Here is a 12,674-nt window from a genome sequence, read left to right on the forward strand (position 1 = left end):
AAAGCTGTACTCATTCAAGCATTATTTGCTACAATACAAACATAGAAACACTAACCTAATGCAGCATGAACATTCTCAAGTTACTTGCCAAAACACATTGATTTTGTGAATGCTACTAAATTATTAATCCACTTTGAATGTTGGATGCTTAACTCTTCATTTTTATATAACAGACTCATAGAGTAGATGGATTCACAGAATTTTTTGTTTTTTTGAGAACTGCTTCCTGAACTCAAGGTTGAGTCTCTAAGGGCCTTGTCTAAAAAACCTGCCCACCCACTCCACCTCTCATCACAGCTTTTTAAAGCAAAACTAAACCAACTCCCCAAACACCATCCCAACGCACACAAACCATCACCACCACCACCACTACTCTTGAGCTGTGTCAGTTAAAATTTCTCTTGGCAGAATTAACTAAGAGACCCACAGACTGGATGGAAGTCAAGGAAACTGAATTACATGAATGGCAACATTTAAGAAAGAAAGTTTACACATTCTTACTCTAAGCTTTCTTCTAATGTACCACACCTACTGTGCTCACAACTCGATTTTTCTTCCTTGGAGTATGTGAAATGTCCTATTATCTTCCCAATATATTTTCATTTTCACTTAAGCTAACCAGTATCAGATTCTATTTCTTGCAAAAAAGCATCTTAACCAATATTACAAAGGCACCAAAATTAACAAACATAAGAACTAATAATGCCCAAAGTAGTATAGGTTAAGAGTATGACCTCTGAAGCCAAACCAACTAAACATGAATCCTGCCTCTGCTACATACTAACTTCAAGACCTTGGGCAAGTTATTTAATGTTTTTGCGCCTAAGTTTTATTATCTGTAAAATACAACAATAGTAGTACCTACCTCTTTGGGTTGTTAAAATGACTAAAAGAATTAATACATGAAAAGCTGAAAATGGTGGCTTGTACATGGCAACTAATTATACACATTGATCACGATTGTGTATAAAAGTATAACTAATATCCTTAAAAGAGTAATAGAGAATATCATATTCTTGGAACAAGAGAAAGATAATTAAGAAAAAAGCAATTACAGAACTTAGAAATGAAATAAAAAACTGATAGAAATAAAAAAGCACTAAAAGATGGGGTGAACTTCATTTAAAGACGAATTAGTGAGCTAAATTGAAGCGTGAGTCAAAGAAACCCTACAGAATGAATTGCAAAAGGACAGAGAGAAAAAAATGATGAAAGTATTAACTCTGTCATCAAATTATACCAATGACTCAGTATTATGAATGACCTCAACAATCTGATTTTTCTTATACTCAAAAGCTTTAGTCTAATCATATGAAAATATTAACTTTCAATAATCTTGAGCTTCAATTCAAGTTATTGAAACAAAAAAAAAATCTCTTAAGCCCATCTGATCACTGGTTTTCTTCATAGTATGAAATACATGGTTTAGCTGTTTGATTGAAAAGAATGAAACATTCTTAACATTAATTCTTCATAAACCTTTAAACTTTAACGTTGATCTAAAACAGAAACTTCAAAGCTATAGTCAGGTCTTTGTAAACTAACCCAACAACGTACCTATTCACCCTCCTCTTTGCCTGCTGCATCCTCCAACCTGCCAGTCCACAGTGTCTAAGCAGGCCCAATTTGAAAAGGGATATGGCGAATAAATAAGCAAGGACTGGTCTGCATAATAATGTAAACACTAACTCTACCCTATAAATTCTTTGCAAATGATGAGGTGCTGGGGAAAATATTTGGCTTCCTTTTCAGGTGTCGAGACCACATTGTCTCTCGACAATTGGTCGAGAGATTATACCTGTCCTTTGGGGAGAAGACAGAGAAACAAGATAGAATAAAAAAAGGGGTGATTACAACTCTCACTGATATGGTAATCACAAAGGCCCCTCTCTTCACCACATCCTCCACTGTTTTGCAGGGTCTGGAATCCCAAAGGACAATACTGACTAGCCTAACAGGGAGTTAGGGTGGGAAAACTGGGATGAAGGAAGAATGTGGGAAGGCAGTACTTTTCTATATTGACGAACACCCAAAACTAAAGGGTTAATATCTTGAGATGGGAACAACTCTTGTGGATGAAAGAATGAGGTTTCCAGAAAGAAAGGTGGAGATCCACACAGCAGAGGTGACATGAAAGCGGTGTTCCTGACAGAAGCATATATCTGAAAACAGGGCTGCAAAGTTACAAATGAGGCATGACCAAAAAGGGGACATCTATGAAGGGTTTGACTTATCAGGTGCCTTTTCTTGGGATACAAGAAACCCCGTATTTAGCATGGAGCTATACATTTCCTCTTTCTATACTAGAATTCCAAAATTTTATAGCTTTATGTGATGGTTTTTGGAAGAATAAGAGAAAAACGCAGTAAAAAGATGCATGGCCTGCCTCAAGTTTAACTGTTTAAGTTTAATTGCCTCTAAATGGCAATATCTAGGAGTTCACTCACTAGCAGCTGAGTTAATACAAGACCAAAGCAGAATTTGTATGGTTCCAACTCAAAATCTTACCAATGAAATACTTTAAAACACTCTTTAACAAAGCCAATTCTTAGCTGTTAAAAAACAGTGGCACAAAGAGAAATACGGGTTCAAAATCTAAAAAAAAAAAGTTATTTTCCATACTTCCACAGCATACCTGAGAAATGTGCTAAGTTTGTTGTAGGGCTTTAAATAATAATTAGGTGAGTTTTAAACACCTAACATCTCTAAAGATTTAATCAAATTTAACTTTCCTAGATAAATAATTTACTAGATAAAATAATTTATACTAAATCCAATAAGTTGCAAGAAAATGGAAAGCCTACTAAAGCCCATCTTCCTTTTCTAATGTATTAATTGACTTAAAGACCAGGAGTTGCATAATCCAAAGTTCAATATCAAAAATTCACTTCTTAATTTATCTTAAAGTACTGGTTACTACGGCCAGGCACAGTGGTTCACGCCTGTAATCCCAGCACTTTGGGAGGCTGAGGCGGGAAGATCACGAGGTCAGGAGACAGAAACTATCCCGGCCAACATGGTGAAACCCTGTCTCTACTAAAAATACAAAAATTAGCTGGGTGTGGTGGCGGGCACCTGTAATCCCAGCTACTCAGGAGGCTGAGGCAGGAGAATCACTCGAACCCGGGAGGTGAAAGTTGCAGTCAGCTGACACTGTGCCAATCCAGCCTGGCAACAGAGCAAGATTCCGTCTCAAAAAAAAAAAAAAAAAAAAAAAAGTGCTGGTTACTACGTTCCAAGTCCTACGAAACATATTCCACATCACTAAAAGTAATAAAAATGTACATAACCTTTAGAAATAATTGTTAGAGAAAAATTATTTAGGATGCATGAATTTAATTAATTAAAATAAGAAATTTGAAAGCTATAAAGTATTTTTTAAAATCTAAGGTAGTTCTACTATTATACCTACTGCCTTTGTTAAAAGCAGTGCTTTCCTTAGAAGAGCCTCTCTCTTCCCCCACCTCCCCCGCAAAATCCATCACTTATCTAATGATACCATTATCTCCTTCAAATATTTTCAGCTAGTAAAACAACTCACTGCACAGCAGAGGAGGTACTAAATACCTGTGGAATAAACAATCCATTTATTATGTAGCAGGTAAAATAACTTTAAATTTTTTAAATTATTTTCATAGAGACCTGATTAAAAACATATCCATGTTTATTTCTGTGAGAAACAAATTAAGATTATACCCTATAAAATAAATAAGTTGAGTCATCCTGATGTTTAGAGCCATCCTGATAAGAAACGTGGTCACCTTCTTAGCATCCTTAAAAGATTTCCAGAAAGGCTAGCTGAAAATACATTCCCTACCTCCAACAAATGACTGTTAGAGGTTACTTCTCATCCACCTAAGCAGATGTAACAGAAAATGGATAGTCTGTCTACTTGGGGCTTCTAAACGTTGTTCGGCACTGAAGGTTGACTTTGGAGACTGGGTCATGAAGCTTGACCTCTTAATTACTGACCTTTTGTTATACATGAAATTCCTTCCTTATTTTCTTGTTCCTAGATCACACCAGATGATGCCAGGGATAAAAGACCGCTGACTGTGATAAAAGACCCTTTGACCATTACATCCTTAATGTGAAATGTTAAATATACCCTTCCCCCAAAAAGAAACACTGCCTATAACTAATTGAATTGCTCTAACTATGCACTAACCTCGTACGAAAAATGATGTAACCCTGTTAAGCATCCCCAGGCCTTGCCTATGTAAAGGACCCTCAAACCTCTCCACTTTGGAGCATTTACCTCATCCTTCAGGAGTCTGTGTCCTCCTGTGTGACCATCCTCAAGTTTTATGCTCAAATAAACTCAATTTTTAATCATATTGCCTAAATGTCATTATTAACATTGACATGGAGCTGATTATCACTCCTTTGTTTTACCTCTATACCCAGTAAACATAACTGTAACTGCAGTAACTATACCCTGTCACCATTATTTATTTATATATTTTCATCTTGAACTTGACCATGAGATCCTTGATGAAAAAAACAACAGTCTTATTTATCTTTGTTTCTCCACCACCAATGGAAATATTAAACCCAGTATCATCTTACCACAGATTCCTTTATCAAGGCTTCCTGAGAGTCCTTAAAGATCAAGGATGTGCAAACTATGATGAAAGAGGTGGGGGCTAAATCCAACCCTCAGTCTGTTTGGCACAGCCCATGAGGAACACTGCTTCTGCATTTTTAAAAGGTTGAAAAATAATAATAATATCTTGTGACATGCAAAAATTATATGAAATTCAAATTTCAGTGTCTATAAATACAGTGTTATTGGAACACAGCCATGCTCATTCATTTATGTATTATCTATGACTGCTTTTGTGCTACAACAGTAAAGTTATTGAGACAGAGACCATACTGTCTGCAAACCTAAAATATTTACTATCTGGCACTTTACAAAAAACGTTGGTCAACTCCTGTAAAAAGGAAGAAGAGGGGAAGTGAGAAAAGTGGCATATTCACTTAACATTTACTGAAGGATTTATGCATCCAACATTATGAGGCAAAAAAAATAAAGTTAGACACTGTCACTAACTTTGCAGAGAGATAAAATTTAATATAATGTGATAAGAGAGAAAGAGCCTGGAAAGGAGTGGAATGGAATTTCCAGGCAGAAAGAAAAGAATGGTAAAGCTAGACTCCCAAACAAAAGGGCTTGACTTTTGTGAAGAACAGGGATACCTGCCATATGGCAGAGGCATAAGGCAAAGTGAACCGGAGCAAGGGGTGCAGATGTATGTTCTAGATAACACGGTAAAGGCAGGCATTGGGAATGGATTATGAAGTTTCTGGTATCCAAAATTAGACACCCTAATTTGTGCACTCATATCTTTCCTCTACTGTACTTTTCACAACTGTGAGTCATGTTTAATTTCCTAGCAATCACATATTCCACTAGTCCATCACTTTCCCAATCCCCAAATCTCCAAAGCTTCCATCTGTAGGATCACCCTCAGATTATGACCTTGAATCCTACTTTACTGAGAAAACTGAAGCAATTAAAAGAGATTTCCAAAATCCACCACAAAGTAATGTTATACATTTCAACAATGTGCCATTTCAGCCTAAACTGAAGACTGATTTCATTACAACTCTGAAACACAAGAAATTAAATGCAATCTGGTATTAGCTACACTTTTAAACTAAGATATTTTTGGAATGAGAAATTAGGAACATATCTGGCACATGAAACAAACTCCTGCCTAGCTACATCATTTGCTTCTCAATCAATGAAATAAAAGCACTACAAAATATGCCTTTTAGCTTAAAAAGGGATAAATTATAAATGCTCTCATCTTCTTTATTGCTTTAAAATTTACTGTAAGGTGGTGCAATAATAAAACAAAATGCAGTCAGGTGCAGTGGCTCACGTGGCAATCCCAGTGGGAGGAAGGCTTGAGCCCAAGAGTTCAAGATCAACCTGGGCAACATAGAGAGACACTGTCTCTACCAAAAAAAAAAAAAAAAAAATAGCCAGGCGTAGGGGCACACAACTGTGGTCCCAGCTACTTGGGAGGCTGAGGTGGGAGGATCACTTGAGCCTGCGAAGTCAAGGCTGCAGTGAGCCAAGATCCTGCCACTGCACTTCATCCTGGGTGACAGAATGAGACCCTGTCTCAAAAAAAAAAAAATGCTAGTTGTCAATATAATTTAACCTAAATTTTATCACAGTGTTTCTTGCTGAGGGAGAAAATAACAATGCAATGGTACACAGAGGACAAGTCATCCAATAAATTTTCTTATGCATAATAGGTCCTTAAAAGCTTGCCCTTAAAACTATTTTTAATCCAACTAATTTACATACTAGAAAAGTTATGACTTAGTACAATATCATAAAATTCTTTTATGCAATCACCCTCTCAACTAAACTCAAGGACAGAGATTATAAATTGTATTCATATCGGTACTCTTGGCACATAGTATGGTATCTGGAATGTAAAAGACATGCAACAAACCAGCCTGGGCAATATAGCAAGACTTCGTCTCTGAAAAACAAATAAAAAATTACCTGGGCGCAGTGACACACGCCTGTAGCCCCAGCTATTCAGCAGGGTCCCTAGAGTCCAGACGTTCAAGGCTGCAGTGAACTTTGATCGCACCACTGCACTCTAGCCCGAGACGCTGTCTCTTTAAAAATAAAAGACATGCAATACACATGGAATGTACTAATAAATTTGCTCTTATAGTGAATGTAAGATTTCCCTACACTAAATCTGTTTGAAAGGAAATATACTCAAACAGCACATATGCAAAGATTAACGCCTCTTTAGTTTGATTTTAACACAAATACCCACAAAGCCCTAACTGCCCTAATAATGTTCCCTACTATGGAGTCTTCCCTAAAACACATACAATATTGCTCTCCCGGCAAACACAAAATATACTAAATAAAGCACCAGAATTAGGGTCTGGCAGCCCGGGTTGGAATCTCAACTCCATCCTTTTACTAGCTGAGACCTTAATAAGTTACTTAACCTCTTTGAGGCCCATTCTCCACACCTGCCCAACTGGAATAACCCCCTCCAATCCTACAGGGTTGCTGTCAGAATGAAAAGAGCTAATACCGAGCCTGGCTTAAAGCTGTAGTCCAGCAAATACTCCTCTTCCCTTAGATTCCTTCAGAACGCCCTTGTAGAAAGTAAACGTGGTTATTATCTTCATTATTTTCGGACTTATTTATTTAAAACGTAAATCGAAGCCTGAGGAGCCCAGGGGAAAACCTCCTTCAGCTTAATAGCTCCAGCCTGCCCAGCTTTCCGATCCAATTAAGTATTTCCATGCCTGGAGCTCCTATTCGTGTTTTAGGATCAGGGAATTTCCCTCCCAAACTGTGTCATGAGATCTGCGCATTTTCTTCTCACTGAAACTCCTTTTAACACGCAAGGTAATGATCCGCGCGTAACCTCGCAGGGAAGAGCAAGCGCTCATTACCCAGCTGTTCAGACGGAAATTTACATCAATATTTGTTTTCCTTCTTTCCCTGAGGTTGCTGAGGGTGGAACGACAGCGTCCAGGCAAAGGCAGTGTCCCGAAGTCCCACGGCCGGACCCGGTCCCAGGGGAGCCTCGCGGAGCCCCCGCCGCAGGGCCCCGACCCCCTCACGTCCGCATCCTGGGCGCTCCCACCGCATCCCCGAGGCTGGCAACCCGCGCTTCCCGGGAGCTGAGGGAGGTCTGTTTCCCTCAGCTCGCCGCCTCTGCCCGCTTCCGAGCCCGCTTCACCCCACACCTCAGACGCCGAACTCCCCTTCTCTCCCCGCCGTCCCTCGCTGGCCAGCCCCTCCTCGTCCCCTCAACTCCCCCAGGGACGGCTGTCCCAGGCTAGCCTCAAGCGCCGCCGCCGCCCGCGACGCCCGCCTCACCTCAGGGCCCGAGCCGCAGAGCTGTCAGGCCTGGACGCGCTCAGTCTGTTGACTCAGTGCGGGTGACCCAGCTGGGATCTGTGCGAGGGCGCGGCCGCGCGCACCCGCGCGCTCCTGGCGCAGGCAGAGCTGGCGGCGCCGAAGTCGCGCCCCGCCTCCTGCAGAGCGCACCTGAGGGCGGGGCTCCTAGAAAGCGCCGCTCCGCGTACGGGCGCGCTTCAGACGCTCGGCCCCGCGCGTCCCGGCGCACGCAGGCAAGCAGCGCGCCCGGAAGAGGAGAGCGGCTGAGGGTGGGGCGAGCGGTGGCGCGCCGCTGCCCAGGGCCCCTGAGCCACTAGAGTCGGGCCTCGTGGCTCTTCCCCAGGGCCTCCCACGCCTGGGTTCTGCGGGGATCTCGCCACGCTCTTTCTGGAGGCACGGGCAAAAACCACGGCCTCGTGTCTCAGTGGTAAACCTGCCGCCTCTTAGCGGGTGACCTTGGCCCACGGCCCTCTCCTCATCTGCCTCGCCCAGTCACGTCTCCTCTTAAGCATCCTTGCCGTCTGTCTCCTGGCATTTGGATGGGCCTCTCTGAACGCGTTTTGAGTCCTCTGCAGCCCCGCTTCCTCCCGCCGCGGCATCTGGAGTGCTGTGGCCCCGTTTCCGTAACTCTTGCCTCCCCTCCCCAGCCTCCTCATTGGCCCTCACACCCCGACCTGGGAGGTCCTCCCACTGAGGGTGCTTGTAGTTCGCGGAGTGTCCTCATCAAAGACTGGGAATGCGGCAGATGCTGAATTTTCCAAACGGCCTGAGACACATGACATCTGTGAGAGACTGGATACTGCACTTACTTTGCTAAAAATATAATCTAGTGTTTTGAGCTTCATTACTCAAAGTGACCTAAATGGGGTCAAAAGTTATTAACACTAACATTACGTATTTTCCTCTCCACATTTCTGTATAGTCACATTCCCTTGCACAAAGACTTTTTTTTTATTCTGTCAATCCTGTGTACATCATGTTTTTTTTTTTTACTTGTCTTTGTGTTATCTGCTTCTCGAATTTAAACCAGGTCTCCCCAACATGCACTCTGCTTTCTAAATTCTTAGGGGAAAAACAAACAAACAAGGAATCAAGTTTTACTTATGGAATATGAATTAAATAGAAAATTCAAAGAGGTTCGTCAGAATCCTTGATGATTAAAACAGCGGTCCCCAACCTTTTGGGCACCAGGGACCAGTTTCATGGAAGACAGTTTTTTCTGGGGGAGGGAGGATGGTTTGGGGATGATTCAAGCACATTATATTTACTGTGCACTTTATTTCTACTGTTACTACACTGTAATATGTAATGAAATAATTATACAACTCACCATAATGTAGAATCAGTGGGAGCCATGAGCTTGTTTTCTTGCAACTAGACAGTCTCATCTGGGGGTGATGGGAGACAGTGACAGATCATCAGGCATTAGATTCTCATAAGGAGCACGCAACCTAAATCCCTCACATGCGCAGTTCACAATAGGGTTCTCGCTCCTATCACAATCTAATGCCACTGCTGATCTGACAGGAAACGGAGTTCAGGCCCTAATGCCAGCCATGGGGGGCCCCTGTAAATACAGATAAAGCTGCACTCACTTGCCCTCCGCTCACCTCCTGCTGTGCTGCTTGGTTCCTCGCAGGCCACAGATCCCGGTAGCAGTCTCTGGCCTGGGGATTGGGGACCCCTGGATTAAAAGATCTAGCAATGGGGATGGGGGAAAGGGAGATAAGTATATTCAAAAAACTACACCAGGAAACTAAAGAAGGCATGTAATGAAAACTATCCCTGATATATTCTGTCTCTTTTGGAAACATCTAGAACATTTTAGTTACAAATTCTCAATGGCCTAGGATTTGGGGCCAAGTAAAGAAATATACATGAAAGATAAACTTGGTTAACATGTTACTGAACCATACTTTCACCCCAACACTTCTCACTAGTAGCCTTAACCTGCCTTAACTTCAGAAGTCTACTCATTTCTACTACTATTCTAGGCATTTATTTCTTACATTTCTTATCCTTGTAATGTTCTCTGTCATTCATTCTGTCTGCTCATGCTTTTACTCTTGTTTCTAAATGACATGACCAAAACCCAATTCTCCAAAAATCTCATCACCCTGGACAAAATGATCTCACTCTCCTCCCAATTGCCTACATACTACCATCTTGTTCACATCATTTTATTTACTTACCATCTCTTCAATTAAATTGTAAATAGTCTTAGGTTAAGAGCTTTTTCTTGACTTGTCTTTTTCTTTTCTTTTCTTTCTTTCTTTATTTTTGTGACAAAGTTTTGCTCTGTCACCCAGGCTGGAGTGCAGTGCCATGATCACAGCTCACTGCAACCTCTACCTCCCAGGTCCAAGTGATCCTTCCATCTCAGCCTCCTAAGTAGCTGGGACTACAGGTGCATGCCACCACACAGGCTAGTTTTTGTATTTTGTTGTAGAGACAGGGTTTTTCCATGTTGCCTAGGCTGGTATCAAGCTCCTGGGCTCAAGTGATTCTCTGTCCTTGGCCTCCAAAAGTACTGGGATTACGGGCCTGAGCCATAGCACCCAGGCGAAAGCTTCTTCTTATACCGATTTAAATTTCCAAGTCCTATGCATCATAGTATACAGTAAATATTATTAATGCTTCCAATGAGAAAACACATATAATAAGCAAGAATATTCAAATATTTTCATTTCCCCCACAAAATGTCACCACCCACTCAACAAGGGCTACCTACTCATAAAAGGGAAGATATCAAATTCCCCTTATAGGATGAATGACAAAATTATGATGGTGATATTGTTTGGCTCTGTGTCTCCAACCAAATCTCACCTTTAATTGTAATACTTCCCACATGTCAAAGGTGACCAGGAGGAGACAATTGAATCCTGGGGACAGTTTTCCCCATGCTGTTCTCATGATAGAGGGTGAGTTCTTACAAGATCTGATGGTTTTATAAGGGGCTTCCCCCTTCACTCGGCACTCATTCTCTCTCCTGCTGCCCTGTGAAGAGGTGCCTTCTACCATGATTGTAAGTTTCCTGAGGCTTCCCTCACCATGTGAAACTGTGAGTCAATTAAACCTCTTTTCTTTATAAATTCCCTAATCTTGGGTATGTACTTATAGCTGCCTGAGAACAGACTAATACAGATGTAATGCAGTTGTAAGAATAATTTAACAGAGGGAATACTAAATAAGACCTATTAATAAAAAGATTGCCACAAATTGATGTATGGACCCTGACATATTTTACTGTCTGTTTGAACAGGTTATTTATCAAACTATTTGTACCTTGTAAACAATGTAGCCATATAATCTCAATCTAAATTTCCATAGTTACCAGGTCCCAGTACTAAGTAAGCAGCTTCAGGGAAGATGTTCCTTTCTGAGCTTCCGTATCTAGGAAAGGGAAACAAGCCATACTGATGGGTTGCCATGGTGGCAATTCTAGTCCCCACATCTCATTAATACATTTCTTAGACAAATAAATCAGATGGGAATACATAAATCATGGGAGTTGTAGATTGAGATTTCACAAGTTGCCTAGCTGTACAAAATTAATGGTGAACCGGAATTTTGACAGTATTTAATGTAGAGTAAGAGAATAAGGCTTGCTACCCTAGATACGAACCTACAACCTACCCTCCTCCTGCTGGTGAACAATGAATTCTATTTGTGTTACTTTTTAATTTGCTAGACATCAAAGCCTTATTTAATGGAGTCTCTATGCCATTTTTGCCAAAATTAAGAGCAAAATTGTTAAATTGTTACAGCACCTTTTTTACTATCAACTTAGTACATTAATTTGCATGATTAAAATACATTGAAAATTACATGACTATTTTTTAAAATCTGTGATTATTAAATGCTATTATTTGTTTTTAAACATTTAACATTTCTACAAGGGTAAAAAAAGGTTTCAAGAGAAATGATGTGGTTTATATATTCAGAGTTTAGATTCAGTATTCGCTATTTCAAATTGGTACGTTTGTCTAGAATGAGTTAAAACATATAAAGAAATGCAGCCTTGGCTGACAAAGTAGGCAGGGAATCAAGCAGCTTTACCAGTAAATAGAATTCCAAACTAGCATATCAAATGTGGCTGAAATTGTTATTAAATAGCTCAGTAATATGATTAATTGATAATTGTTGGAGGGTTACAGGGGAGGGATTGGAGAAGAGAATGACTTCTAAAGGTAGTTTTAGTTTGATTTTTATTATTACTACTAATATTATTATTACTATTGTTTTTATTACAACAAAAATAATTTTAAGTATTTTACCCTTTTTGTTTCTCCAAACAGAAAAATTAGTCAAAGAGACTGATATTTGAAGAATGTACAGCCAAATTTGTTGTTTAAAACTTAACCAACCAACAAGTATTTATTAAGTGTCCAGTATTCTTGTTTGGTAAAATCTCCCAACTTTCTAGGTGAACCAAACGAAAAAAGGTAAAGAAATCAACAATTGTTCTGAGAGTTTTTTAAAAAATACTATAAAAGCATCAAATAAGGAAGATAATATTTCTTCCACTGTTAAATTATGTGGTGCAAATTATAAAATGCTGTAGAGAAATCTTTGAGAACTAGAGATACCTGTTAACTTCAAGAGGGAAAAATGGGAAGATTGGTTTAATTAGAGTGAAGAATTATAATAGAGGGCAGAGAGAAATAAACCTTCATAAATTTTTATAAACACAGTTTGTAATTTACCTAAGAGAATAATGTAAACATTAAAGAGAAATTTGACTCAAGTTTTCTTTTCTTTTCCTTTTCAG

General features: G+C 40.0%; 1 protein-coding gene across 1 annotated transcript in view, besides 3 other annotated features; it reads right to left on the bottom strand.

Moving 5' to 3' along the window:
• ABCA5 (ATP binding cassette subfamily A member 5) overlaps positions 1 to 7,964 on the bottom strand; it is an 82,823-nt gene extending 74,859 nt beyond the window's left edge. Inside the window, exon 1 of the mRNA NM_172232.4 lies at positions 7,883 to 7,964. The gene's annotated coding sequence lies outside the window, so the exon portion shown is untranslated. The remainder of the gene's footprint in view (positions 1 to 7,882) is intronic.
• Positions 7,651 to 7,740: a silencer, noted in NCBI's record as "silent region_8905". NCBI's record gives its function as "represses an Ori minimal core promoter by ATAC-STARR-seq in GM12878 lymphoblastoid cells {active_cell/tissue: GM12878}" and the evidence as "EXISTENCE:reporter gene assay evidence [ECO:0000049][PMID:35858748]".
• Positions 7,871 to 8,250: a silencer, noted in NCBI's record as "silent region_8906". NCBI's record gives its function as "represses an Ori minimal core promoter by ATAC-STARR-seq in GM12878 lymphoblastoid cells {active_cell/tissue: GM12878}" and the evidence as "EXISTENCE:reporter gene assay evidence [ECO:0000049][PMID:35858748]".
• Positions 8,331 to 8,470: an enhancer, noted in NCBI's record as "active region_12653". NCBI's record gives its function as "activates an Ori minimal core promoter by ATAC-STARR-seq in GM12878 lymphoblastoid cells {active_cell/tissue: GM12878}" and the evidence as "EXISTENCE:reporter gene assay evidence [ECO:0000049][PMID:35858748]".

The sequence above is a fragment of the Homo sapiens genome, chromosome 17 (assembly GCF_000001405.40).
Source record: "Homo sapiens chromosome 17, GRCh38.p14 Primary Assembly".
Classification (NCBI taxonomy): Eukaryota; Metazoa; Chordata; class Mammalia; order Primates; family Hominidae; genus Homo; species Homo sapiens.